We start from the raw sequence: 27,965 nt of genomic DNA on the forward strand, positions 1-27,965 counted from the left end.
GGGCCTCGAGGAAAGGCATAGGTAGGAGCTGTCAGGCCAGACGCCCGGGCAGCTCCACGCTCGCCTCCGAGGCCATTTCCTTTCCTCTCTCCCCGACCTCGAGAAGGGGCGGCGAGAGGGCAAATGCCCGCGCTTCCTGCCGGTCCCGCCCCTCCCCGCCCGCGGCGCCCACCATCTTGGCCGCGCCGGAGCCTCCTCCGCGGTGGCGTCCCACAGGCCGCGGTCGGGGCCCGCGACGCCGACGCCGGGAGGGGGCCCGGGACCTTCGGGGCGCTGAGGCCAGGCGGGGGGCGAGGCGGGGCGGGCCGCTCGCGTCGCCATGGCAGCGCCCGGCCCGGCATGCTTCGCGGGGCCGCGGGGCGGGGCGGGGTGCTGAGGCCCCGCCCCCTGGCGGATCCCGGGTCTTTTTCCGGGAACGCGGGGGCTTCCAGTCCCAGCGTTGCGGCCGGCGCTTGCGGGTTACCGGGCCAGGCGGCGCGCATCTCTGGGCCTCGTTCTCCCACTCCCTGGATGTTTGGGGATAATGAAAGAGAGTCTGTGCGGGTTAGCCTCGGGACGGGCTCTGCTTACCGAGCCCGGCAACCCCACGGCAGGGGCCTCGGGAAGCCGCTTCCGAGGGCCAGGATAATGGGGAGACTGGACCCCTACCGCTTGGGGGCTATTAAAAGTGGAGGCCAGGCGGCCTCTCAGCTGCAGTCTCTGGGTCTCGAGCTCTTCCCCGGAACTGTCCATGGGTCAGTGAGGACCTACCCTTTGCCCTAGGGCAGGAGAAAGAAGGGGGCCGGGACTGCACACCTCACCCGGTCCAGGCCTGGACCCTGCAACCTCGGCCGGCCTCCCTCCAGCCCAGGAGCACAGGCCTCCCCTAGTTGGCAGTCGTTGGACTGTCTGGCTGGGAGGCACATTCCTACCTCCTGAGCTCGGGCACCCCGCCTGCCCTGGGGGAGCCTCTTCCAGAACTTTGCTGCCAACACTGCCCTGTCCCCACCCGGCCTTCTCGTGCCCTAAGTCCCTAGTTACTACTCCACAGCCGCCTTCTTTCCCCTGGTCTTTCTCTCTCTCTTTTTTTTTTTTTGAGCTAGAGTCTCCCTTTGTCGCCCAGGCTGTAGTGCAGTGGCGTAATCTCCGCTCACTGCAACCTCCGGTTCCCAAGTTCAAGCGATTCTCCTGCCTCAGCCTCCCGAGTAGCTGAGATTACAGGCACTTACCACGGCTAATTTTTTTGTATTTTTAGTAGAGACGAGGTTTCACCTCGTTGGCCAGGCTGGTTCCAAACTCCTGACCTCAAGTAATCCTCCCACCTTCGCCTCCCTAAGTACTGGGATTGCAGGTGTGAGCCACTATGCCCGGCCTCCCCTAGTCTCTTAAGAGGCACCGATTCAGCTACCCTTTGTCACCTCCTACCTGTACTGAGTAGGCAGCTAAATTGAATGTCGGCCTTTGGGTCTCCGAAGGGAGGCTGTATGCTGGTTGAGAGGCTGTCCTCGCGCCTTTCTCCCTCCTCACCCAGGGCACATGCACAAAGAGGCTGAGAATCGGCTACAGTTGCAGCAGAAGAGACTCAGGGTTGCCATCGGAAAGAACTTCCCAGTCCTAAGCATTTTGTTCTTAGTGAAATTGTCAGATTATTGATATGTTGGTTGTAGAGATATCCAAAAATACAAGAAAAAAGTAAAAACTTTATAATTCCACCAGCAGTATATAACTACTGTCAACATACTTTCTGTAGATGTATGATAAACCACTTATGATACATCTACGGAGTCATGCTGTATATTTGGTTTTGTAAGGCACTTGGTGGTTTTAATAGCTTTTTTCTCACTATAAAAGGAGGACAGGCTTATTATAGACTTTTGGAAAATATGACAAATTAAAAAAAAATTCACCCGTACTCTCAGTCTCCAAAGGCAGCCACAGTTGTCTTCCCTCAACCCCCCCACCACCCGTTCATGGGGTTTTTCGCTTTGTGTTTTTTGTCTGTTTAGGTATGCCATCATTACTTCTGTATATAGCAGTTGATATTCCGCTTTTCTTACTTAATGCTGTTTAAGATGCTCCTGAACCACGTTCTTGGGAGAACTTCCGAGATGAGGCAGACATTTCTGGGGGTGATTTGTTGGACTGGCTGTTCACTTTCTGAGTTTGTCCTCTCCCTACCTGTAGCCCCCCGACAGAGCCCTTCTCCATTGCCAGTAACCAATGATATGCAGCTTGGGTCAGGGGGTCCTGCTTGCTGGGGGCCCAGGAGGCTGCCTAGTGTGGACAGGGACATGCAAGACTCATGGCCCGATGCTGAGATCTGGGCTCCAATAGTAAGGGGCTTTACTCTGGCCCAGATATGCCAGGTTTCAGGGAGGTCTCAGACCTTGGCCTCATCCTCATTCGGGGCCTCCTTTGCCTGGGCACACTCAGACCCGAGGCCCCTTGTCGATCCTGTGACCCACCTTCTGCTTTGACTTCCTAGGAGTTGGTTTCTGCTGCCCTTGGCTCCTCAGCCCCTCTTCTCTAGCCTCTCTCTGGAGGCATGCAGGCTTGGCACCAGCACAGCCTCCCTCTGCCCAGCTGCCCCTTGGCCCTAGCTACAAGCTGCCCTTGCCCTGACCTATCCCTACTGCCAGGCCTGTCTCTTCTCCCCTATTCCAGAACGGTTCAATTCTAACACATCCAAGCCCTGCGTGAAACAGGCCTTGGGAAATCACAGTTGCCAGGGACGGTTTGGCATTTAAAAGGCATCCAAGGCTTTGGGGAAAAAGCTGAAGAGACAAGAGGATGCAGGGCCCTGTATCAGAACAGCATCTGGATTTACTGGATGGAAAAATCACAGAATGCCCCTTTCCTCGGGAATAACAGTCCTGGCCGAGGGGCAGCGGGTGTGGCATGGGCACGCCATGCCCTGCCTGGCCACCACCTGCCATCACCGCTGTGTACTCTCAGAAATGAAAAGATTAGGGAAAAGATTAGGGAGGGACATTGTCAGCCTGCAGCCAACGGCCCGCTCTAACAGGTTTATTCAGTTGTAAAATATTTAAGACCTGTTTCACTTTACCTGTATCCAGGAGGCAGCCAGGCTGGGGCCGAGATTGATGTGCTGAACATGATTTATTTATCTGGATTTGCTCTTGTGGTCTGGGTGTTACCTGGGTGTGGAATTTAACCAAATGACAAGATGGGTTTGCGTGTGTTCCTGAGCTTGGGGATTGTGTGTGTGTAAAAAGTGAGTTGGGGTTTGTGTACATGGCAGGGGGTTGCTGTTAGGTGGCTTGTGTGTCTGTTTGTCACTGGGACCAACGTGTGGTTGTGTGTGTGTCTGATTTGGGGAAATGAGCTGAGGGTATGGGTGCTTACACACCAGGCAGTATCCACAGCAGGTCACACGTTCTTTGTGTGTTGGGGGCACCTCTGTGTGTGGCCGAGTAGCTGTTTGTGTGCATGTCCTGTGGTGTGAGACCTGGATCTCTCTCACCCACTTTTCATCAGTGGTGGGGCATTGCGCACTGACTGAGTTGCTGGGGCATCTGCTTTTCCATCCGGCCCTGGGTGAGCACTGACAACACCTGACTGTCTTCCAGTAGAACTGGGCCTTCCTGCCCTGCAGTCCAGAGACTAGAGGGAGTTCGGTGGTCAAGGTGGTCCAGGCCCACAGCCATAGCCCTAATGCAAAGCATGGCTCCTACTCCAGTGCGCTGCTGTGGGGTGACCCTGCTCCTCCTCCCTGGACCTCAGTTTCCTCTTCTGCTGCAGAGGGCAGGCGCCCAGGTCCCTGTGGCTGCTCTCACACACGGGCTTCTGGGTGGCTCATGGCAGGCTTAGGGCATTGGGCTGGGGTTTGTCTCCTGCCACTCAAGAGTTGAGTCCCACCAGTACTCAAGAACAGCAAGGAATGATGGGAAAATCCCTGCTTTGGGGCCCAACTCTGGATTCTGGGCGTTGTCTCTGTCCCCCATCTAGGCCCAGCCCTGGCCCAGTAGTCAGGAAAGCGGCAGACAACCCTGTAACAGCCCTCGGTCTCCCCCTCCCCCCACACCCCTTTATATTGAATGTGTCTGTCACTACTTTCCTAATGAGGCTGCTGAGGGCCCCCCTGGGGCAGATACCTTTGCAGACCGGAGGTGAGGGGGTGGGCCAGCCTCAGGGTCAGGACAGGAAGGGGAGCTGAGCCCTTCCCCTGCCTGCACCCCCAGGCCAGCTCAGCTGTGGAGGCATTGAGGCCCCTCTCAGCCCCTGAGCCAGCTGTGAGTGGGCATGAGAGCTTGGGGAGGTAGGAAAGCTCACCCCAGGCACTGAGTTTTCTTTGGCGCTGTGACTCTGTAGTAATAATACTTCCACCTGGTCGATATCTATGTTTGGAGGCCTACTGTGTGCCAGGCACTGAGATCAGCCATGATCTGGATGGACACACAAAATCCCTGCCCTTGAGGGAGGTGTGGCCAAAGGAAGAAAGACATTAATCAAAGAATCAAGTGATCTGAGTCGTGCATTCATGCATGGGAATGCCGGCTGATCACAAGCCAAGACAGAGGCCAGGCAGAGCTTCTCTGATGGAGACAGGGAGTCCTGTGCTTAGACTGGGGGCTGATCCAGGCACTGGGTAAAGGCTCAGCCGGGATTGAAGGAATCAGGAGACCCAGATTCTTGCTGTGTGGCCTCAGGCAACTGCCCACCTTCTCTGGGCTCCTAGAGGCTGGTGGCTTCCTTCTGGCTCCCGTCACCTCTGAGTGGAACTCAGGCAGTATATGTCTCCTCTTCAGTGCTTTTTGCGCTCCCTGCCAGGGCCCTCAAGACATCTGTCGGCAACATCCTTGACTTTGGAATGCTGGAGGCACTGCCCCAGGGGACGCCTGGAGCCAAGCACAGCACCGCTGCCTCAGGCCCCACCTGCCAGTTCCTCTGGGCCCTTTTGCTCTCACAGAGCCACCTGGATCGAAGAAAGCCTGGAAAACATTAAATTGAAGAATTAGTCCCCTATTTTGCCCCAAAATTGCAGAGAAAAGCATTTATTCATGCATTCACTCATTCATTTGCTTGACTAGTGTTTCCTGAACACCTAGTAATTGCTGGGCACACTGCACTCCATGTTGGACTGAGATGGCAAAGTGGTGGTCCTCCTGCCACGTCCTGACCACAGACCTGTTTTGAAAGCCCATCCATTGTCGGGGGGCCGGGGGGGGGGGAATCAAATGAATTGCCAGTGAGTAATCGTTGAGTGACTTCATTTCCAATTTCCAGTTTACATTTCTTCTGGATTATTCTACCCTGCTTCCCCCGGCCACAGTTGGTGGAGATGGCTACTGTCTGCCGGGTAGGATGGCCCACCCAGCCCACCAGCTGGTCACGGTCCCATCCCCCACCACTCCACCCCACCCTGTGCCTCTCCTGGTCATGTCACACATGATAGTGTGGCTTCCTAGTTATGAGCCCAGCCTCAGGAGCCAGACTGTCGAGGTTCAAAGCTCACTGTGGCTTGTGGGACCTTGGGTGTCCCCCTCCAAGCCTCAGATTCCTCTTGTGTAAAATGGGATCACAAGAGCAAGTATCCACTACTCCTGGGGCTCTTGGGGAGATTAAGTGAGAAAATTTATGCTAAATCCTTAAAACTCACATAAGCCTTGGCTGCTATCGTTGTTGAATAAATGAACCACTTGCAGGCTGAGACCGGGGCTGTGTGTCACATGGCACCTCTAGGCCTCAGTTTCCTCAGCTGCTTCTTTGGGAAAGCACATCTGCTCTCTAGGTTGGGCCTCCTCCCTCGTCCTTCAAAGACCTATTCTTGGGGCCTGGGCCCTGTGAAACCTCTGGCTCTCGGACGCAGCCTGGAACCCCTGAGACGAGGTCAAGCTCCGCGGCCCGCCTCCTGTCGCCCGGCCCCAGGCGGGACTGCCTTGGCAGGACTCGGGCCGCGAGCTGGAGGCGCGGCTCCCGGCTCGGGGCTCCAGCGGCCGCGCCCCGCCGCCCCTCGGCGTTCGCGCGCAGCCCCTGCGGGGGTGGCCGCCATCAAAGCGTCTTCTCGTTCTTATGCTAATGAGCCCCATTAAAGCTTAATGGCTGCGAACGCGCGGGTTTAATTGCACCTGCCCGGGCCTGAGGCGCGGCCGGCCGCGGAAGCAGCTGCGCGCCGGCCGGGACGGCCTTAATTACCTGGAAAACGACGCCCGGCGGGGAGGGGAGGGGATGGGAGAGAAGAGGAGAGCAGCGGGGCCTCCGCGAGGCCGGGCCTCGTCCGCCGAGGCCGCAGTCCGGCCCCTCTCGTCCTCGGGGCGCGGCGCGTTCGTTTCATTAATTTATCGCCCTGCCTCGGCGGAGATCCGCTCGCCCGCTCCCCGGCGTTCAACCGCGCCGGCTTCGTGCTCCCCCGCGCCGTCCCCCGGCCATCTTGGGCTTGGCATTCAAGGCCCTTCGGGACCGCTGCTGCCACTGACCCAGTGCCACCCTGCTCTGCACGAACAATAATAATGGTGGTTGCACATTACGTGCCAGGCGCTCTTGAGGGTTGAATGTGACCTCGCAGAGACCCCAGATGCCTCATCTCGGCCTTACTCCCCTCGTCTTTAGAAGCTGGTACCTCTGCCTGCAACAAAGACCCCTCTCCCTCCTCGCTCATCCTCCCTGAAACCCACCCCTGCGCCTCCAACAAGATGAGCCCCTGTCCTCCTGGGATGGGATTGGGGATGGGTCTGGGCCCTTTGTTGAGGGGTGGGCTAGCCCATGGTGAAGGTTGTCTGGGTGTGTCCTCCCTCTGGACTGACATTTCACTGAGGCCAGTCTGCCTGACTGCCCTATCTCTGCATGCCCCTGCCATCTCCCTGGGGATGGCCCTGGGGTTGTGGGGGCTGCACTGCTGCCCTGAGCCTTCTGCCTAGGCAGGGGGCTGTGAGACTGATGGGAACCTCAGGGAAACCTTGAGACCTAATGGTATTCTCTGTGGGACTTCCCTGTGCTCCTCCCCACCCCATCAAGTGATCCTGGGATAGGCGCCTGCCCCTCCTCTCTCCCTCATTCCCTTCTCTCACTCTTCTCTTTTTGCAGAGGGAAGGAAAACGGAAGAGGGAATAGACAGACCGCTCATGCAGTTTTTAGATGGTCCCCTTTCCCTCCCCTCTCTCTTCCATGTCCCCTTGTACCCAGCCCCTCTTTTTTCTTTCTTTGAAGACCGCATCTTGCTTTGTTGCCCAGGCTGGAGTGCAGTGGTGCGATCATGGCTCACTGTAGCCCTCAACCCGTGGGCTCAAACAACCCTCCCACCTCAGCCTCCCAAGTAGCTGAGACTACAAGGTGTGCACCACCATGCCTGGTTGCCCCTCCTTTCTGCCCCTTCCAGTCCCATCCCTCCTCCCTTTGTGCGTCTCAGAGACCAAAGCCTGAAGCATTGCACAGTGCCCACTGGGAGGCCACCCAGCCCTGGTCCTGCCTGTGTCAGGCAATGCTGAGAGCACAGAGGGGAGTCAGACTTGGGCTCTGCCCTCCAAGGACTCCAGTCGGGGAGGCAGCGCTCGAAAGGAATACTTGTCCTCTAATGGAAAAAGGACCAATTTAAAGGAAGCAGAGAACAGTCTTTGAGCTCAAACTGGGAAGGCTGGGAGAGGCTTCTAAGCTCAGCCTGGAAGGAAGGATAAGTGTGAGCTAATTGGCAGGAATAGCATTCCAGGTAGGGAAACAATTGGAGTTCAGCCCTGGCTAGGGCAGAACACTGGCTGACATGAGGGGAGAGGGAGTAAGGGACAACCACAGAAAAACTGAGCTCACTCCAAAGTGTGGAGGCATGAGGCTGGAGAGGTGGGCAGAGGGTCCTCTGTTGCCTAGCAACCTTCACTGCCTCCCTATTGCCAAGAGGACCAAATTCAGACCCTTCAGTTGGCACAAAAGCTTGTACCACCCACCTCATCCCAGGATGCAGCCTATTATCTTCAGCTGGGTTCCTCACTACCAGGCCAAGCCTCGGATGATGATTGTGAGCCTACTGTATATGGGAAGGGGGGATAAGCAGTGACCCCATCAGGGCTAATAGCAGTGGGGCCTGCTGCCCAACTCCATGCCCCTTCTCCCATTCTTGTCCCCAGATGTCCTTGCAGACAAAATGGAGGTGAATGGGCAGGCTGCCAGGAGCGTCAGGTGGCATCACAGCCGGGTAGACAGTCGTCACTGATTAATGAGGTGGTAGAAACCTAGAGGGAGGTCCCTACTGGCATGCCTCGGGGTTCTGCCCTTGCTCTGGTCAAGGCAAGGAATGAGGCTCACAGGGGTTTAGCACCTCCCTGCCAGGCTATGTGAAACTCTTGGTATCCAGTAGTTTATCACCAGCCATGAGGTGGCTTCTCTTAATATCTCATTTTGCAGATGCAGACACTGAGGCCAGTCGGGGTGAGGAGTGAGCTCAAAGTCACTCATCTCCGAGGTGGCAAAATTAAGCCTCAAACCCAGGGCTGTGTGACTTCAAAGCCTGTGTTTGTAACTGCGGAGCTGTGCGGCATCAGTAATGCATCTGCTGCTGCTGCCAGACGTGAGGAGGTGGGGCCCTGCCTTTCAACTTCATCTCTCTGACAGTGGTTAGCACTGTACTTTACGTGTAGTAAGTGCTCAATAAATGCTTGTGGACTGGATGATTGGGGCAGTAAGCAGTGAGCAGGGCTCAGAAGCAGTGGAGAGGCTCCATCACTCTTCCTCCCAACCTGCACCTCCACCCCCAGGAGTTGGACAGCGGCTGTAAGGGGACTTGGAGACTCAAGGCTTCCAGGCAGGGAGTGGGCTCACAGGAGGCTAGGGAGGATCCAACTTCCTGTCCAGGTCAGGGTCAGGAGGACAGCCGCGCCCCCTACTGCCCCGCTGGGAGGCCAGGCTGACGTAGGAAGGCTGCACTGCAAGTCAGAATCATCAGCAAAACCTGGGGAATAGAGCGTGTGAGGGTTTCCATGCAGGGTGGGGACTGCTTTCTGATCAAGCCCCTAGGCCAAAAACCTTTGGAAGGGACTCTCTGAGGGCAGTGCATTCTTGTAGCGTCGGGAGCAGGAGTTCTCCCATAACCTTTTTGGGGTGGGGACCCACCTGTGGCTCTGGAAAGGTGTTGGCTCCGGCTCTGGGGCTCAGGGGGAGGGGGCCATTGGTGGGCAAAACAAGCATAGTGAAAACTGAGGCTCATAGAGGTTAAGGTCACAGAGCAGAGCTGGGTCTGTTTTCTTTTTGTTTCTGTTTTAGTTGCAACAGGGGCTTGCTCTGTTTGCCGAGGCTGGAGTGCAGTGGTATGATCATAAATCACTGTAGCCTCGATCTCCTGAGCTCAAACGATCCTTCCGCCTTGGCCTCCCAAAGTGCTAAGATTACAGGCATGAGCCTTCATGCCTAGCTGGGACTGTTTTCAAACTCCACCAACCCCTTTTCTTTTGTTCCATTCCACTCTGCCCAGAACCTTCGTCTGGCTTCCCAGAGGGCCCAAGTCCTTGTCTTCAGAGGTCCTGGCTGGGGAGCCTTAGAGCATGGTCTTCCCTCACTCCAGGCTTCTCGGGTCTCCCTATTGGGGACTGACCGTGGGAGCAGTGAGCCACTGTGCACCAGGGCAGCCCGGCTCCTCGGGGGGTGGCCCAAGCAGTCAGGGCGGCAGGCTTGATGGGCCAGGGCCTGGGGACTCTGCCATGGTGGACCATTGTGCCCTTGCCTGGCTTGCCAGGAAAGTGGAGTGCGTGTGCTCACCCTTGCTTCTGAGGGGCCTTCCTGAGGCAGAGGCTGTCCCTGGACACCCAGTGCTGTTGAGGCAGCTGGGGACACTCAGACCATGGTGGACAAAGACTTGAAGTCTCGTTTCAGCCCTGCACAAGGTGTGACCTTGGCTCCAGCACTGCTCCCTCTGGGCCTGTCTCTTTCTCAGCAGAATCTGGGACTGGCCACATCATCTCCAGGGGTTCTAGCATTGGACGCCTGAAAGTGGACAACATGGCAGTGTGAGGGGGCTCTTTGTGGTGGGGTGGTCAGAATGGCCCTCCATGTGGGGGGCTCTTTGTCTCCCCAGGGCAGTCCTTAACCACCAGCCAGCCTCCCCAGGCACCCGTGCCGGGCAGTGGGGTGTGTAAAGGCCTGGCACACACAGACAGGAGTTCCGATCTCAACTCCATCCTCATGAGCTCTGTGACCTTGGTGAGTCCCTTTTCTGTGTAGCCTTTAACTCTCATCTGGAACGCAGGATATGCATAGTCCTGACATCAGGACGTTACCATGAGTAGTAAGTGAAACTCCCACTTCAGGTCCTTCGCCTGGTGTCCAGGGCATGGGAGGAGCTAATACGTGGCCTCTGCTGCTTGTGTTGTTATTGGTGGTGGTGTTTGAGATGTCCTTAGAGATGTTGGCCAAAGTTTCCAGTTCCCCACCCTCCCAAGCCCGTGGGGAAATTGTGCTTCCTGGTGGTTTTTGGGTGGGGGGGCCGGGGGAGGGTCATGTGACCAGTTATGGCCCGTGAGGTGTGAGCAGAAGTGACATGTCCCTTCTAGGCCAGAGCCTTTCATGGCCATGAGGATCCACAGAACTCACTTTCCTCTGGTAGACCAAAGTCAAGGTGGCAACTGCTCAGTGAGAGGGAGCCTCCCTGCTACCCCAGTGGATGGTAGTGTGAAGGATAAACCAACTTTTGTTGTTGTGAGCCCTTGAGATTTGAGAGTTTTGTTACAGCAACATGGCTAGCACATCCTGACTGATTCTTCATCATCATCATCATCATCACTCAAGCCTGTCCCCCGGCCAGGGGTCCATCCAGGAGAACAACAGCCATGGAGGAGACCCGTCAAAAAATAGAACTTTATTACCAATCTGTTTCTATAATTGTTTGACTCATTTTCTCACTCATTTGTTTGCTTTATCACCAATTTCTTTACATCATTTATTCCTTCAAAAACATTTCTTGGCTGGGTGCAGTGGGTCACGCCTGTAATCCGAGCACTCTGGGAGCCCAAGGCAGGCAGATCACCTGAGGTCAGGAGTTTGAGACCAGCCTGGCCATCATATAGTGAAACCCCATCTCTACTAAAAAATACAAAAATTCGGTGAGCTGAGATCGTGCCATTGCACTCCAGCCTGGGCAACAAGAACGAAACTCCGTCTCAAAAAACAAAAACAAAAACAAAAACAAAAACGAGCCAGGTGTGGTAGCACACACTTGCAGTCCCAGCTACTTGCAAGGCTGAGGCAGGAGAATCGCTTATACCCAGCGGGCAGAGGTTGCAGTGAGCTGAGATCGCACCACTCTACTCTGGCCTGGGCGACAGTGCAAGACTCCCTCTCTCAAAAAACAAACAAAAAGGCTGGGCACGGTGGCTCACGCCTGTAATCCCAGCACTTTGAGAGGCCGAGGTGGGCAGATCACGAGGTCAAGAGATGGAGACCATCCTGGCCAACATGGTGAAACCCCCTCTCTACTAAAAATACAAAAATTAGCTGGGCATGGTGGCGCGTGCCTGTAGTCCCAGCTACTCGGGAGGCTGAGGCAGGAGAATCTCCTGAATCCGGGAGGCAGAAGTTGCAGTGAGTTGAGATCGCACCACTGCACTCCAGCCTGGCAACAGAGCGAGACTCTGTCTCAAAAAAAAAAAAAAAAAAAAAAAAAGGCAACAAAAACCAAACGCCACTTGACCACCTGTTTCATAGGCCCTGAGGTAGCGCACAGGCCAGCAGGGAGCTATGGATCATTCTGCAGAGCCACGGTGCTTGCCCAGAGGTCAGCAGCCCTATGGGATGCTTGGGGTGGGGCGTCAGATTTGCAGAGCTGGGGCGAGGGAAGGAATGGCACTTGGGGGAGTGGGTCTGCTGGAGAAAGGCCTACAGGTAACAGGAAGCACTAGGCAGTTGGGTCCGGCCAGCAGGGATGGGACCGTGTAGTGGCCAAGCTGGAGGGGGACTTTGGTCCCTGGGTCATGGGGTGTGCAGTGCTCTGCACTGAATGATGAGAGGGCATGCATAGGTGAAACAAGAGGCCAGCTGCTGAAGGGAGGAAGACCAGGTAGGCAGCTGGGCCAAGGATCCAGGTGGACAAGGGCTGGCATGGGTCTGAAGAGGAAGAGCAGGGCCAGGGAAAGCCCAGGGCTGGATGGCCAGTGGTTGTGAGCTGCACCAGCAGCCAGAGGGAGCCGGGGACTGGATGGGGGTGGCCCTGTGCAGTGACGGGGAAAGTTTGAGGGATCAGAGTAGAGTTGGGGCACCCGAGCGGCATCCAGGGGAGATGTCCAGGATGTAGGGTGGTGAATGGACAGGACATTGAAGTGAGAATCACCCCTCCTGCCCATAGACAAACCATTGGTTTGAGGGTGGGGCCTGCCCTGGGAGCCGGGAAGCACACATTTCTTCTCTGTGTGGGCTCAGGGGAAAAAAAGAATTGAAACTCCCACAGGGGAAAAGTTTTTAAAGATTCCACCATTGGAATGCTGGTCTTGTGTAACAGGAATGTTTTAATCCATGCATTTGAAACACAGTTATTGAGATCCTACTGTGAGCTGGGCTCTGCCCTAGGTGCCCATGGGTGAGCAGACAGACAGCGATCTCTGCCCTGGTGAGCTCCTTCCTGTCTTAGTGGGAGACAGGCAGCTAATGACGAGCAATCTGGGGCATGCTCCTTAGTCCTAAGCTACTCAGGAGGCTGAGGCAGGCAGATCGCTTGAGTTCAGGAGTTCGAGGCCAGCCTGGGCTACATAGCAGAACCCCGCCTCTACAAAAAATACATAAATTAGCTGGGCATGGTGGTGTGTACCTGTATTCTCAGCTACTCAGGAGGCTGAGGTGGGAAGATCGCTTGAGCCCCGGAGTTTGAATCCAGCCTGGGTAACATAGCAAGACCTTGTCTCTGAAAATAACTAAATACTTTTAAAAAGAAGATAGATGTAGTGAGAAAAAAAAGTAGGTGGGGAAGGGGCTCAGGGATGGGGGAGATGCGTGCAGTTTTAAATTGGAGTGCCAGGAAAGGCCTCCCTGAGAAGGTGACAGGTGAGCAAAGACTCGAGGGAGGTCAGTGAACCTTGCAATGTCAAAGGGAAGGGCATTGCAGGCAGAGGGAATAGCAGTGCAAAGGTCCTGAGGCAGGAACGTGTTTCCATGTTGCAAGAACAGCAGGGGAGCCACTGTGGCTGGAGGGGACTGAGAGAGGGGAGAGGGTTCCTGGAAGACTGTTTGTTTATTTGAGACAGGGTCTCACTCTGTCACCCAGGTTGGAGTGCAGTGGCATGATCTCAGCTCACTGCAACCTCCACCTCCCAGGCTCTAGTGGTCCTCCCACCTCAGCCTCCTGAGTAGCTGGGACCACAGATGCGTGCCACCATGCCCTACTAATTTTTTGTATTTTTGGTAGAGACGGGTTTTTGCCATGTTGCCCAGGCTGGTCTCAAACTCCTAAGCTCAGGCAATCCACCTGCCTCAGCTTCCCAAAGTGCTGGGATCATAGGTGTGAGCCACCGTGCAGGCCAGACTCTAGCTTTCATTCTGAGTGAGCTGGAGACTGCAAGAGGCAGGCTCCAAGCTGACTTACTATCTCACAGGCTCCCTCAGGAGTTGAGGGGGCCAGACAGAGCTTGAAGGGGAGTAGAAGGCTCCTGGAGGCTCTGGCAGACCTCAGAAGCTGCAGCCACATCGACCAAGCTGACCCCACCCACCATCTCCAAGGAATGGGTTAATGGGCACCCCAGGCCTCTCAGGTCTCTGCCTCTGCCTTGCTCCTCCTCCTTCCTCCTGCTGCCACCCTCTGATGGTGCTTCAGCCTGTGCCATTTTTCTGGGTCCTCTCCAAGTGTATATTGACCCTGAGGTGGCAGCAGGAGGGGAGGCAGGCCCCCTCCCCAGGAGGAGACCCCCTTGATGAACTCTGAGAAGCTGGTTGCTTAGCAAGCCCTTTTTTCTCCAACAATACTTGTGCTAATCAGCCTAGATTGAATGAGCAAGGAATTGGCTTTTGCACCTTCCTGTCCTCTCTTCTCATATATATATATACACACACACACACACATATATATATATGTACATTTTTTTCCCTTAGAGACAGAGTCTCACTATGTTGCCCAATCTGGATTCAAAGTCCTAGGCTCAAGCAATCCTCCTACCTTAGCTTCCTGAGTAGCTGGAACTACAGGTGTGTGCTAGAGTGCCTGGCTAGGGACTCCATTCTAGAATCATGGAATCTTAGGGGTCCCCTGGGTTGCATCTTGACTCAGTGAGTGAGTGGGTTACTTTTTCACATCCCTCCTTGTACACCTCCTGTGACTCCTGGCAGCTCACTCTCTTTCTAGCGACTGAGGGCCTCTGGACAAGGTGAGGGGGACAGAGCAATGGTCCAGAAGTTAGAAGACTGTGGTCCCAGTCACAGGCTGGGCACCATAAGTGGACACCATAACTGACCCATCCTCCTTTTGTGCTCAAATGCTGCAGTTCATCCGGAAACAACCAAAACATTCCAGCTTCACAGCTGCCAGGGTTTGGAGTTGAACCCTGTGTCCCGTGCTCCTGCCACCCCTGCTCCAGGCACAAAGGGAACAGTTCGTCAGTCCACCACGGGCCTTTCCTATCCTCAGTTGCAGAGTGGGCCAGGACATGCCGCTTTACAGATGGGAAGACTGAGGCCCAGAGAGTGGAAGGGAAGGAGAGGAGCCCATTCCAGGCTCCCGGCCTGGGATTTTTCCCATATGCTCCAGCAGCCACCCGGGGACCATCATTATGACAATGATGACTGATGGAGGGCCTAGTGTGCCGGGCACTGTGCTGAGAGACCCCAAGGAGGGCGTAGCATCTGTGTCCACAGGAGGAGGCTGTGAGGCTGAGAGTACCTAGGGAGAGCAGAGCTGGAGCTGGCTGGGCTCTGGCCATGCGGCTTTGCTGTTTGCTGTCTGCTGTTTGCCGTATCAAGGGGCGATACTCAGGCGGGCTCCTCTCAGTCTCTCTTCTTTGGTCTCACCTCTACTCAGAAAAGCCCTTTGCTGGCCCCCAAATACTCCTACCCCGACTCTCTTCTCCACCCCTCCAGGCTCCCAAGGCCCCTGCCTGCCTCGGCCTCCCTGCTGGGTTGACCACAGTCAGTCCTGGCTGGAAGCTGACCCTCTCCACAGCTGCCCCAAAATACATGTCACAGTGGGGCATTTGCAGTTCCAGCCTGGGCAGCTGCCCACTAGGTCTCTTTCCTTCCCTTCCCTGGGTCTGCCCCCAGGCCCCTGGCCTCATTCTGGTCCTGAGCTCCCTTCTCTGGGCCAAGGAGCTGCTGGGCCTCGGGGAGGGGGAACCCCAGCACTAGGTCCAAAGTGATGTAGCAGGGCCACTGTCTGTGCCGGGGCCTGGAGCTTTCCTCTGAACCTTAAGGGGCCCCCAGATCAGCTCCGTGCGGGCCTGGGGTGCAGCTTCCAGAATCTTGGAAACCTGTTTTTCATGGAGCCAGATAGAATGAGCACCCAGGAGGAGGCAGTTCCAAGAGCTGGTGCTTCAGGAGGAAACCTGCACAGCAGACAGGCGTGCGCACATTCCTAGATGCTAGCCCTGTGGCGGCGCACCTCACGCTCATTCACAGTACACGGACATGCTCACCTGCCCACCATGGGTGGTCAACCCTTGGACACCCACACTCTTCTCACACCCTCACACACACACTCTGCACCACTCGCCTAGCCCCGGCCACGCTCATGTCAGGATTCTGAAGACCTCGAGCACACACAGACACGCACCTGGTCACGTGCACTTTCACACATACACTTGGCACCAGGGTGGCAGCAGCGGAGGTGACTGAGAAGCCTGCTTTTCACAGAGAATCAGAACCCAGCGGGGGCTTTAGCCACAAAAAAAGAGCATTTCAAGGAGAAGGGCTGCCTGCATGCCAAGCACACGCCCCTCACCTACCCAGGACCCCTTGTGGGAGCTGAGCCCCATGGAGACCCCGGGGTACCCATCCCACCCTCCAACATCCATCCCTACGTGGATATACGGCCACAGTTGCAGCTGCGGCCATGAGGAGGGGTTTTTGCTCCTTTTTAGCAGTGCTCCATCCCCCACCCCAGAGTACAGGGGGCTGCCCAGAGACCCTCCTGGCCCTGGGGGCCTGTGAGTCAGAGGCTGCCAGTGGTGGCCTTTCGGCTGTTGCTGGGGAAATGGCAGCACAGTGGCCACCAAGACTAGGACTCCCTGGGGAGGCCCTGCTGGCCCTGGCACTGGTGGCTTGGCCTCACCCAGCCCCACCTGGCAGATGTGCCCCTTGTGGCTACCCAAGGACTGGCCCCCTCCTCATTTCAGAGGTGGAGAAACTGAGGTAAAAAAGTGGAGACAGCCAGGGCACCCCTCCCACAAGGCCCTGCCTCATTTGAGACAGAGCCCTCTGGGAAGCCTGTGCATTCTGTAGGTGGGGACCTTTGGGGCCATTTTTTCCAGAGGCCCAGAGAGGGCCGTCTTCTTGCCCAAGGTCACACAGCAAGTTCATGGCATAAGCTAGCCAGCCTCGTACTCCAGAGCTCTCCTGAGGGCCCCCATGTGTCTGTGCGGGGGTGTTGATGGGGGGCAGGTGGGAGGGAGGAGGTAAGGCTGATTTGTTTCCCAGCCTCCTCCCCCTCCCCTGCTCCCTTCTCTCCCTCACACGGTTTGTTTGGAGAATGACTCACAGGAATGCAGCAAAATCCTGATGGATGGGAAGGCAGGGCCGCAGTACCCGGAAAACCTCTCCAGGGTAGGGAGGCGGGGCTGAGCCTTGGGGCCTGAGAGGCTGGTGATAGGGGAGCCCTGCATGCAGGTGGGGCGACTGAGGCCCTGGAAGAACTCTGGTCACGTCCTGGCTGGGGGTTGTCCCTCCTCGACAGAAACACACAGGCCCTGGCTGCCGCAGCACCCCTGGAGCACCCGTCCCCCATGATTTCCATCTTTGTGTCCCCGAGGCATCTGGTGCACTGTAGCTGACAAACACATGCATTTTGGCACTGAGTGTGACCCAAGTCAGACCCTCCTGTGTGTGCCCTGTCCCCCAGGTCCTCCCAGCTCCCCGGAGTTGGGGGGCGGGTGCTTGCCATTCAGTCCTTTCAGAGGCAGCCAAGGGCCTACGGCATGCTGGACACTGCCAGGGGCTGGGGAGGCTGGGATGGAGCTGGAGGGAAGTGGGAGGTGTACACGGGATGGACACCTCCTGTGTATGTTCCAAATGTGCTGGAGGCCTCAACAGGTCTTGGTACAAGGTGAGGCAAACCTTAGAGGACCTAGGATGAAGTTTCACGTAAAGGAACAGTGGCTGTAAGGGCTCCCAGAAAGTGTAGGGACCCTGGGAAGGTCCCAGTCTTTGAATAAAGGTGGGTGGGACCTTATTGGTAGCTTGGGGCATTAGGGCCCAGATATCAGGCAGCAGCATGAGGTGAGGCCCGGGCTCTGTCCCAGGGCAAGCCCTCCTCCTGCGCACCACATCTGGGGCCTCCGAGGAGGGACAAAGCATTCAACTCCCGGGACCTGTGGGTGGGAATGTCCCCAGGCCCAGCCCTTTAGTGCCTGCTGATGGCTGTCACGCGGTGTCCGGCCCTGATGACCAGATATGTGTTTTCAAGAGAAGCTGGAATTTGGATTTTTATGTGAACTCTCCTGATTCTCAAATGCTGGCTCCGTTAACAAAAGGCACAGTGTGGTTTAAACCACACATGTCCGCAGGCAGAGGACCACCAGTTTCTAATGTCTGCGCTGTGGGGCGCTTGGGTTTTTGCATTTGGTTCTTTTACATTCCTTATTTTATTGGAAACAGCCCAAATAGTCACTGAGCTGCAACTCTGTGCTAGGTGCCGGGGCTCTATCAGCGAATAAAACAACATGTGACGGAGCTGCCATTTTAGTGGGAGAAGACAGTGAATAAACATATATCAGGTGATATGTGTTAGGAAGCAAATGGAAGCAGGGCTCCAGAACAGAGAGCGGCTGCAAGGCCAAGCCCACATTTGGGTGGAAGGGGCAGCTAGTGCAAAGGCCCTGAGGTGGGGCTATGCTAGGTGTGTTAGAGGCCTGTGTGGCTGCAGCGGGAGTGGGTGGGGAAGTGGGAGGAGGTGAGGTCAGAAGGTAGCATAGGTCAAATGGCATAGGAGACTGTGGGCTGTGGTATAAGCTTGGTTTTAAGTCTTATGTGAGGTGGGAGCCATGGAGGATTCCTAGGGAGGGAGGGTCAGGATCAGACTTGGTTTAACAGGCTCTGTCTGGGTGTTGTAATGGCTGAGTGGGGCAAGGATGGGCCTAGGAGGCCCAGAAGGGGCTATTGCACTTGTCTGGCTGAGTGATGATGCGGCCTGAACAGGAAGGGGGTAGTCACCAGAGGGTGACCTGAGGAAACTGTGGTCAAGCCTCTCCATGGTGTAAACAGTAAACACGATACTGATTCTAAGGACTTGGTAGTAACATGGAAATGGTGACTGTGTATAATGCTATGTGAAAATAGGATTAGAAAATTGTACATTAAAAACACACCAGCCCAGATGCAAAAGGCTGCAGATCATATGATTCCATTCATACGAAATGCCCAGGACAGGCGAATCCAGAGAGACAGACAGGAGGTGAGCAATTGCCAGGGGCTGGGGGTGGGGAAATGGGGGGTGACTGCCTATGGGAACAGGTTTCTTTTTGGGAGGGGGATGAAAATGTTCTGAAATTAGGTAGCAGTGATAGTTGCACAACTTCATGAATATACCAAAACCCTGAGTTGTCCCCTTTAAAAGGGTGAATTTTATAGTGAGTGAATTATACCTCAAAAAAAAAATTTTTTTTAAGGCATGTCCAGATTTCTAACCAAAATTGGATGCACATAGAAAACATTGCAAGGAGCTGGGCGTGATGGTGCCTGTGGTCCCCACTGCTTGGGAGGCCAAGGCAGGTGAATCACCTAAGCCCAGGAGTTCAAGACTAGAGCCTGGGTGATATAGTGAGATCCTGTCTCTAAATAATAATAATAGGCCAGCTGCAGTGGCTCATGCCTGTAATCCCAGTACTTTGGGAGGCCGAGGTGCACGGATCACCTGAGGTCAGGGGTTCGAGACCAGCCTGGCCAACATGGTAAAACCCCATCTCTACTGAAAATACAAAAATTTAGCTGGGCGTGGTGATACACGCCTGTAGTCCCAGCTACTCAAGAGGCTGAGGCAGGAGAATCGCTTGAACCCAGGAGGTGGAGGTTGCAGTGAGCCAAGATCTTGCTACTGTACTGCAGCCTGGGCAACGAGAGCAAAACTCCATCTCAAAAAATAAATAAATAATAAAATTTTAAAAAGATTGTAAGGAAATATTCACAGTAATTGTCATAGGGTGAAGGGGATTCTGGATTTTGTTTGTTTTCTGTGTACTTTTCAATTTTTAAAACTTAAAAGTAGGCATTTCTCTCTAAAATCATAAAGACTTTGTGACTAGGGCCAGAGATGGGGGATCCACTTGGAGGGGCTCAGCCTCTCTCTCCAGCTCTTGTGGATCCATTCAGCTGCATGGCTTTCACTTGGGAGGTTGGGAGCAGGAGCTTGCTCTGGTCCGCGTCTCTGACCTTCTGGAATTCCATTCCTGCTCACATGGCCTTGGTCAAGTCACAGGACCAGAGATCCCAGCGGCCCTCCCCTGGAGAGTGTCCCAGCCGCCCACGATGCCTCCACCCAGAGGCTGCCCTGTTCTGCTTGCATGCCTTCAGCCGCAGGTTGCTCACCACCTCCCGAGCAGCTCCCTCCTTCCATTTCTGGGCAGCCCTGCCTGCTAGCAAGCTCTTCCTTATATGGAGGTGAAATCTGTCTTCCTGTTGCTTCCTCAGCTCCCTCTCTGAACCCCAGTTTCTGGGTCTGCAGAAGGGGGCTCCCAGGCCTCTCCCTGCCTACCTTGGCCACTGGGAGGTTCTGAAGAGACTGGAGGACCAGCAGCCCAGAGCCTGTGTCGGTGGTCATTCAGCTCTCGGGACAAAGCGTGGGTGGGCCTGTGCCCTGGTGGCATAACCAAGTAGGATTTCCACATTCAGTGTCTAGGCCATCGCTGTGAAATTGGAATTTGATACTAATCCTGGAGATTGAAAACTCAAACCTCTCCATAGGCCAGGAGGGAATGATAATCATCAGTGCTAACATTTACGGAGGGCTTGTGGCGTGGCCAACTCTGAGTGACGTTTATGCACTCATTTCTATTTATCACCAGCAAATCCCGGGCCCTGCTGTTCTTCCCCATTTTAAAGGTGAAAAACCTGAGGCTCAGAAACGTAACGGGAAGCAGCTGGGTGCGAGCCTCCTGGCACACATTGTGGGAGTGCTGTGGGTCGAATAAGGAAGCTGAGCAGCAGGCAGCCTCTCCCCTGCAGAAGGGCACAGAAGCAGGACTGGAAGGAAATCCTGGTTGTGGGCTGAGCTCGGGCCATCCACTTGTCGTGGTGGGTGAAGGGTCTGGTCCGCAGGTCTGCTCTCCAAGCTGCCTCGTTGCAGGTGCTGACTTTGGGAGGATTCTCCTTGTCTCGGCCTAGGAGCTTTCTTGCTCAGCTTGGGGAGAGAGGTAGTAATGTCGCCTTCCACCTCATGGACTTCCCAGTTTAGAATGCTGCTTCCCATCCCACCCACATCACCCTCTGTTAGGTAAGCAGGAGCAGAAATGCAGTCCTTCATCTCAGCTCTGGAAACGGGTTCAGAGAGGGTGTAGAACTGCCCAGGGGCACACAGCCAGGACAGGCCCAAGCCAGGAATTGCACTGGGGGTGAGCAGGGGATGGCTTTCCTGGCTTAAGGTATGTGGGAGGCCAAGAGCCATCATTTTTCCCAATCCTCTCCTGGAGAGCCAGGGGACATCTGAAGCCAGGGGCTCTGCCTGTTTCCTCTGCACTGTCCCTGTGCTGGGCTGCTCTGAGCTGGGCACTGGTGTGGAAGGTAAATAAGCAGCCCCATGACAAGCTGTGAGACCGGGCAGTGGTTTGGGCTCCACCCAGGCCCATGCCTCTCTCTTCTGCTTGCAGAGCCTCAGTGTCTGCATCTCTCAAATGGGCTAAGGACACTCACCTCAGAGGATGGCTGAGAGGATTCCATGTGGGGTGCTTGGCAGAGTTAGCTCCAGCTCTGCATGCCACCCCCTCCCATGGTGCAGCCACCTGGGTTCCACCAGGGCATTCTGGGATGACACCAGACCGGGAGGAGAAGTGCGAGGAGTGGTGTGGTCATTGGCGTCTTTCCTCTGCCTCTGCCTCCCCCGGCCCCTTCCATTCACATGGTAGAAATTCAGATAGCACAGCAGCAAGTGTCCCTCCCGCTCCTGACCTTCCAGCAGTTTCTTCTCCATCCTTCCAGGAGTGATCTCCACAGATTCAGATGCCCCCCGGAAAGGGCTTTCCATTCAAAGTTTCCCCTGGACTCATTCTGGCCCCAGAGAGGCTGTGCCCGATCCGATCCTCGCCCCTTTGCGGGTGTGAACTTGGAGGCTGTGAGAGGGCCAAGTTGCCCCTGGGAATCGTACATATTCTGTTCCACATCCTCCTCCTGTTGTCCGTTCCGTGCCCTCCTATGTCAGGAGTGGAGGAGTGCTGGAAGGCTGTGCAACACACTGTTACCCATTTTGCAGATGACAAACTATGGCGGGGGGAATGGGTTTCCCTTAGCAGAGAGGGAATTGTCCAAGTCATGCCAAAGACTTAAGGGCATGTCATAGCCAGCTTGAGTCCAGGCAGGAGCTGTAGCCACCAGTCGGGACAAAGTCAGGGGACTTGAGAGGTCTTCACCCAGCTGCGGCCAGGAGAAGGCCTGGAAGGAGCATCCCTGCTGCCATCAAGTCCAGGGAGGGCAGAAGCCCATGGAGCTCTGAGCTGAGTTGGGAAGTGGCTGGAGGGGTCACTTGTGGGGTGGTTAAGCCACCCAGAGATACCCATGAGCCCTGGGGCCAGGGAACAAAAGATGTGTGAAGGCAGGTGACTGACACTTGGGTGTGTGTGGACTTCTACATAGAGAAATCTCCGTGTTCTTGCATGTGCATGTGTCATTTATATGTATACATGTGTATATGTGTATACATCTCTGCATGTAGCTGTGTGTGTATGTCTATATGATTGCATGAGTGTGTGTACACACAGATGTATATGCCCATGTTTCTGGATGTGTGTGCCCAGCCTGAGGGGGGGACAGGGTTCTGTACGTGTGTGTGTACACGTGTCTGTGTGCATGTGTATGTGGTTTTGTGTCTTTTCATGTGTGTGGTGCCTGTGTGTCTGAGTGCACATTGTATGGAGGGTCTGGGGGCTGCGTATGAGGTAACTGTGTGATTCTGTCTGACTCTGGGTGTGTTTTGTGTTGGGTGTGTCTACGTGTGTGTCTGGCCCACATGTGTCTGGCCCACATATGCTGGCCCAGGGCAGGATGGAGGGGCCTCCTGTGTGGTGCTGCTGGACTCTGTTGTGGTCACCACGGCCCCGTGGGCTTAGCGTGGGGCACTGGTGGGGCTGATGTTGCCACTTAACCTCAGGGTGGGATGGCATGGAGCAGGCCCATCCCGATGTCCCTGGGTGGCCTGGTGGAATGTGCCCACGGGATGCCCACCACTGGGGGACCCCACCAGCGTTGGGGCTGAGGCTTAGGCTGTAGCAGGCTAAGAGGTCCGTCTATAGCAGTGGCTAGATGTCTGTGGCTGGGGCCTGTGCCTGAGGTCAGAAGTCCATTTGTGGAAGAGGCTGGGAGTCAGTCTGTTGCTGGGATTGGGGAGGGATCACAGGGACCAGGGTCAAGAGTCAGAATGTGGCTGCTGCCATGGCTAAGGGTCAGTCTGTGGCTGCAGTTGCAGATCAGTCTGTATGGCACAGAAGACAGGTTAGGCCTCAGCCACACCACTGTCCCCAGCCCCTTGGTGGCTTCCTGGCCCAGGGGTAAGTTTGAGCCCTGGGAACAAGGGGCAGAGAGAAGAAAGCGCCTGTGAGTCCTGCTACCAAGCAGGCCTGGGCCCAGCTGTTCCCATGGCCATGGCAGAGAACCCCAGCCAGCCCAACGTGTCCAGAGTGTGTGGCTTCATTGTAGCCAGGAACCAAGGGTGCCCAGGACCGTGCCAGGGTGAGCAGGGCAGTGCTTCCCAAGTGAGACTGAGAGAAGACCCCTGCCTGCCTCTCAGTGCATTTCCTCAGGCACCCTCTGGTGCCTAACCCTGTGGCTCTATAACCCTCCTTCTCTCTTCTCCTACCCTTCTTTCCCCTCTCCTTTATCTGCTGTCATCCTCCCCACTCCCCAATCTGTCTTCCTTTGCAGCTGCCCTGTCCTCTCTTTCCCCCAGCCAGCCTCCTGCCCCCCACCTGGGCCCTCTGAACCCCAGGGCCTTGCCTCTTTTAAGTTCAGCAGATTTGACTTCACTCAGACGCTGGCGCTGAGGAAGGAAGATGAATACCCATAGTCTGGATGCCCCAGGAGAAGGAGGCTGCATGGAGGCCCAGTCACACGCCTGCAGGCGGGGGCCGTCTTCCTGGAGCCCATGTCCAGTGAAGGGTCCACAGCAGGGGTCAAGGGGGGCTTAGACTCGGATTCTGCCCTGTTTGAGCCTGAAGCTGCACTGACCTCATGGGATGGCCTCCTGCAGTCAAGTAGGGAAGGATGGACAGACACACAGATGACAGGGAAAACTACAGACAGAAAAGATCAAAGGTCGTTCAGATCAAAAGCAGGCAGAAGACGCCTCGGTCTTGGCCCAGCACCAGCATTCCTGTGCAGACCCCAGCCCAGGGCAGAGACTGAGATGTACTCCCTCTCCCCTCTCCCCCTGCTTCCCCTGGTCGGGAGGTGGCCACCAAGGCAAGCCTTCTGCCGTCACTCCAGCCAGAACCTGCATGGGTCGGGGTGGGTGGGCCAGATTAGCCTCCATCCTGGAATCAGGGGAGTTGGGACACTGAGGGGACATTCAAATGTTTGGAACATTTGAAAATGTTCCAAAAATGTAAGAGAACTTGGATCTCTGTACTCCCGATGCTCTCCACCCCCATCAGCTAAAATATCAAGCTCTTTGCTTTCAAAGAAAAGCATTTTCTCGAGTGTTTTGCTCTCAGTTTCACATGGTAGCCCCAGCTTGCTCAGGAAGTGCTTGGCGTTAGAGGGTTTTGATGGGGAGAAAAGGGAACAGGGCTGTAGTTGTTGAAGGACCATGCCAGCCCCATGTGGGCAGGGATGCCTGTTCTGTTCCCTGCTGTCCCACAGTGCCCTGAACAACGCCTGGAACATGGTGGGTTCCATAAACGTATACCAAAGGAGATATGTGTGGGCAGTTGGTCTGGGAGACAAAACCGGATCCATGGGGGCAGGAGGGCTGGCAGCTGCAGACCTGGATCAACATGCTCATAAAAAGGGGATATTAAGGCTGGGAAACTGGGAAGGTGACTGGGGTAGATGACCCCCTGCTGACTCAGACAGGGCACAGCTCCTGGTACAGTCATTAAAAATGGGGCCTCTTCAGCAGTTTTCTAAGCTACCACATTGGCATGAAGGGCATTAATGTGTTGGAGCAGGTACAGTGGAGGCTGAGGAGGGGCAGGGTTCCTTCCTGAGGCATTTGCTCTCCCACCAGCCCCACTAGCATGAATGGCAGATCCCAGCAGCCGTATCCATCCTTCTTGCAAGTTGCTCAGGCAAGATACATCAGTGAATCCTGCTAACCCTGCCTTCATAATAAATCCAAAATCCGACCCCTTCTCATCGGCCCCACCCTGGCCAGGCCTCATCATTGCCCACCTGGACTAGTGTAGGATGCAGGCTTCTGTGCTCCTGCCCTGGCCCCACATCTGCCCTCTTCACAGGGAGAAACTCTGACCACCCAAGGGAAAGCGTGTCCCATCCCTGCTCAAAACACTGCAGAAATGCCTCATCTCGTTCAGTCTAAGAGCCAAAGTCCCTACAATGGTGTGTGTGCAAGCCCCTGTAGGTGTGGCCCCCCGTCCTCTCTGCCCACATCTCTTTCTGCTCACTCCCCTCAAGCCACACTAACCTCTTGGCCATTCCTCAAAAATCCCAGCCTGGCTGCTGCCTCAGGGTCTTTGCACTTGTTCTTCCTTCTGCCTGCACAGCTTTGCCCCCAGACAGCTGCATGCCTCACTACCTTTGTCTGTCAAGTGTGTTCTCAAATGCTCTTAAGTATGAGCTCTGACCACTCAGTGTAGAAAAACAGCCCCTGCAGATGCTCCCAGCCCGCTTCCTTGGCTTTATTTATTTTTCCATAGCACGCTTCACCTAAGGTAACATACTACATCATTTACTTATTCATTCTGTTTCTTGTCTGTCAAGACTAGAATGAAAGCTTTGTCTCATTCCTTGCTCTGAATCCTCAACACATAGAATGGAGCCTGGCATCTAGTAGGTGCTCAGTAAATATGTACCAAGCCAATGGATGCATACTTTTGCCACCTTCAAGTTACGTGACTGGGAGCAAGTGCATTTCCTGGACCTCAGTGATCCAGTCTCTCAAATGAGGCTGACTGATGGGGCGGGGGGAGATACATAGAGATTTGAAGTTGCTGCCCCACTACTCAATAAACATGTGGAATAGATGTTAAAACCTGGCCCACATCTGACCTCAGGCCTGCAGGCTTCCAGCGTGAGGCTTACCAGACCAGGGCTGAGCTTGAATGCGACTTCTGGGTCTTAGTGTACCAGCCTGGCCTGATGGGCCTCCCCGTCCCTTGTTTCCACCTGGGTGTCCCTGGTGGCCTGTCAGTGAGCCTTGTCCTTGGCTGGCTCCACTGCCTGCATTCCCTAGGACCCTGCTTAGAGTCCCCAGCCCTCTACCCACCCTGCCTCTCTGGTCAACAGCTCCTGTTTACTATTTAGCTCTGGAATGGCATCTGGACACACACTTGCATGAAAGCAGCTATTGAGATAGTGCTTGGCAAACAAAAGGGCTGACATGTCCAGACCTAGGTTCTCCAGAACACAGCCTCACCTCACCAGGAAGGACTGGGCCCTTTAAAACCTGTGAGCACCCCTACCATCCCAGCGAGGAGGGAGGATCCTAATTCCCCTGGGGCAGACTCTTGGTGAAAGGTGAAATCAGAACCTAGGGAGCAGGAAGCCTGCCAGCCAGGCAGCCTCCTCTGCTGGTGTTCCAGCAACATTTGTGGGTGCTGGGTGCTGGTTGCTGGCACCATGATCCCATGGAATCCTGCCAGTAGGGTCTGATGGAGTAAGCAAGGCTTTGGGGTCCATGCACACTTAGGTTTGAATTGTGAGGTTGCCACTCCATTCTGCTGCACTGCCACACGCCATGCACTGTGCTTGGTGGAGGTGAGCAAAGAATCTTGAAATTGAGAGTCGGATGGGATCCGATTGTGTTGCTGTGGTCTTGGCAAGTTCTTTGCAGGCTCTCAGCCTGGGTTTCTCCTCTAGGGGATGGTCAGATCCTGACCTTGGGGTACTGTCTTGTGACTCTCCATGATACCACTTGTGGAAGGGCCCTGGCCAGGTCAGGGTTTCCATCACCCTCTGGCAGATGTGAATGGCAGCCCTGCTGAATCAAGATCCCTCCGTACCACTGCCCCAGGAGCTCCAGGGAGTCCCCAGGGAGCCAGGGAACAAGAGAGGCCCCTGGAACAAATGACAGGCTCTGCCCTTTTTTGAGATAAGCCACCCACCACCATCCCATCCCTCTACACCCATCCCCAGAATCTGGAATCTGTGAAGGGTACTCACTGAGCGACCTGGAATCTGTGAAGGGTACTCACTGAGCGACCTGGAATCTGTGAAGGGTACTCACTGAGCGACCTCAGGTGAGTCTTCCGACATGTCCTGGCCCTGATGTTCTCCATGCTCCACCCCACCCCCATTTTATCCAGGGGAACTGTTGGCTCAAAGAAGAGAAAACTTGGGCTTGGTCAGGCTTATGGGAGGAGGGCTTGGTTTAACTTCATTGTTCCATGCATTCACTCACTCATTCATTGAACAAGTGCTTATGGAATGTATACCAGGAACCATTCCAAATACGGAAGATACACCAAGGAACAAACAGACAAAAATACCTACCAGATACCTAAATATGTAAATTACATGGTATATTAGAAGGTAGGGAACAGCATTCCAGGCAGATGGATCAACAAGTGCAAAGGTCCTAAGGTGAGAGTGTGCCTGCTGAATTCAGGAACTGCAAGGGGCAATGTGAGTGGGGCAACAGGCTGGGACTGAGGGCAGGAGTTGGTGGGGACCTGATTGTGTGGGCTGTCATCAACCACCTGGGGGACTTTCTCCTCCTCATCACTCAGAAACTGAGGAGGGGAGGGAAGACATTCCAGCCAGGTTGGTGATCCCCAGCGGGCATTTGGGCTTTTCCGTTGCCACCTTAATGGTATACACAATGCGCATCTCCTGGTTCACTCAGCAGCCTCAGGACTGAGTGACCCTGGTCCCCAAGACAGATATTGAAGACAGAGACTAAGCAGTCTGACATTTTAAATATGGGGAGCCCCGAGTGGGGCGGGGCTGCCCAGGACCTTAGGGATTCACTTCTGGTAGGGAGGGCTGCTACCAGGCTTCAGGGAATGCCAGAAAAAAGGTGCCCGAGGCCCACCTGGCATGTAATGATGGGCAGGATTGGCTGTAGGATGTATAGAGACTTTAGTATGGGCAGGGTTGGGGGTTAGTAGGTGGAGAAGGGAGATTGGGACATCATTGAGCAGCAAAACCCAAGTGTGACAGGTGGTCGGTGTGCTCCTGCCAGAGCAGAGGGGCCTGAGTAGGAGGAAGTGGAGGTGGAGGCCGAGGAGAATGAGACAGACAGACTCACTGGCCAGCGGGAGAAAGTGGTGGGACGAGCCAGGGCTGACACATCTGTGTGATCCCTGGTGCAGTAACTCCGGTAGATGGATGGACACGTGGATGGATAGAAAGGTGGGTGGATGCAGCGACGGATGGATGGATGAATGAATGAATGAATGCATGCGTGGGCGGTGAGCGGCCGGGAGAGGGGCGGGCCAGCTGAGCGCTCAATCACAGCCCCGGGGCTCGGCGCCCGCCAGCTGCACTCAGAACCCCCCTCACCGTGGCCCTGCCCTGTGGCGCCTAATTACGTGCCCCCAGGGCTC

The 27,965-nt window shown here is 55.3% G+C and overlaps 1 protein-coding gene and 1 long non-coding RNA gene across 5 annotated transcripts in view, besides 9 other annotated features; one reads left to right on the forward strand and one right to left on the reverse strand.

Annotated features, from left to right (window-relative positions):
- RAI1 (retinoic acid induced 1) overlaps positions 1-27,965 on the forward strand; it is a 129,996-nt gene that overhangs the window by 13,012 nt on the left and 89,019 nt on the right. The gene's annotated exons all lie outside the window — the stretch shown is intronic.
- Positions 113-542: a silencer, noted in NCBI's record as "silent region_8250". NCBI's record gives its function as "represses an Ori minimal core promoter by ATAC-STARR-seq in GM12878 lymphoblastoid cells {active_cell/tissue: GM12878}" and the evidence as "EXISTENCE:reporter gene assay evidence [ECO:0000049][PMID:35858748]".
- LOC124903943 (uncharacterized) lies at positions 3,081-27,883 on the reverse strand. Its single transcript, XR_007065650.1, has 2 exons — positions 26,653-27,883; positions 3,081-26,620 (listed from the first exon to the last, which is right to left on the reverse strand). It is a non-coding gene; the product is annotated as an uncharacterized LOC124903943 (long non-coding RNA).
- Positions 4,260-4,778: an enhancer, noted in NCBI's record as "H3K4me1 hESC enhancer chr17:17602043-17602561 (GRCh37/hg19 assembly coordinates)". NCBI's record gives its function as "activates a minimal SCP1, AML or CMV promoter by ChIP-STARR-seq in naive H9 embryonic stem cells {active_cell/tissue: H9 hESC(naive)}" and the evidence as "EXISTENCE:reporter gene assay evidence [ECO:0000049][PMID:30033119]".
- Positions 4,779-5,296: an enhancer, noted in NCBI's record as "H3K4me1 hESC enhancer chr17:17602562-17603079 (GRCh37/hg19 assembly coordinates)". NCBI's record gives its function as "activates a minimal SCP1, AML or CMV promoter by ChIP-STARR-seq in naive H9 embryonic stem cells {active_cell/tissue: H9 hESC(naive)}" and the evidence as "EXISTENCE:reporter gene assay evidence [ECO:0000049][PMID:30033119]".
- Positions 5,776-6,287: an enhancer, noted in NCBI's record as "OCT4-NANOG-H3K27ac-H3K4me1 hESC enhancer chr17:17603559-17604070 (GRCh37/hg19 assembly coordinates)". NCBI's record gives its function as "activates a minimal SCP1, AML or CMV promoter by ChIP-STARR-seq in naive H9 embryonic stem cells {active_cell/tissue: H9 hESC(naive)}" and the evidence as "EXISTENCE:reporter gene assay evidence [ECO:0000049][PMID:30033119]".
- Positions 11,706-12,000: a silencer, noted in NCBI's record as "tiled region #3199; K562 Repressive non-DNase unmatched - State 18:Pol2". NCBI's record gives its function as "represses a minimal TATA promoter and a strong SV40 promoter by Sharpr-MPRA in K562 cells {active_cell/tissue: K562}" and the evidence as "EXISTENCE:reporter gene assay evidence [ECO:0000049][PMID:27701403]".
- Positions 16,426-16,720: an enhancer, noted in NCBI's record as "tiled region #10129; HepG2 Activating DNase matched - State 5:Enh, and K562 Activating non-DNase unmatched - State 14:Gen5'". NCBI's record gives its function as "activates a minimal TATA promoter and a strong SV40 promoter by Sharpr-MPRA in HepG2 cells, with weak activation in K562 cells {active_cell/tissue: HepG2 | K562}" and the evidence as "EXISTENCE:reporter gene assay evidence [ECO:0000049][PMID:27701403]".
- Positions 18,125-18,214: an enhancer, noted in NCBI's record as "active region_11805". NCBI's record gives its function as "activates an Ori minimal core promoter by ATAC-STARR-seq in GM12878 lymphoblastoid cells {active_cell/tissue: GM12878}" and the evidence as "EXISTENCE:reporter gene assay evidence [ECO:0000049][PMID:35858748]".
- Positions 19,495-19,764: an enhancer, noted in NCBI's record as "active region_11806". NCBI's record gives its function as "activates an Ori minimal core promoter by ATAC-STARR-seq in GM12878 lymphoblastoid cells {active_cell/tissue: GM12878}" and the evidence as "EXISTENCE:reporter gene assay evidence [ECO:0000049][PMID:35858748]".
- Positions 22,938-23,682: an enhancer, noted in NCBI's record as "H3K4me1 hESC enhancer chr17:17620721-17621465 (GRCh37/hg19 assembly coordinates)". NCBI's record gives its function as "activates a minimal SCP1, AML or CMV promoter by ChIP-STARR-seq in naive H9 embryonic stem cells {active_cell/tissue: H9 hESC(naive)}" and the evidence as "EXISTENCE:reporter gene assay evidence [ECO:0000049][PMID:30033119]".

The sequence above is a fragment of the Homo sapiens genome, chromosome 17, assembly GCF_000001405.40.
Source record: "Homo sapiens chromosome 17, GRCh38.p14 Primary Assembly".
Classification (NCBI taxonomy): domain Eukaryota; kingdom Metazoa; phylum Chordata; class Mammalia; order Primates; family Hominidae; genus Homo; species Homo sapiens.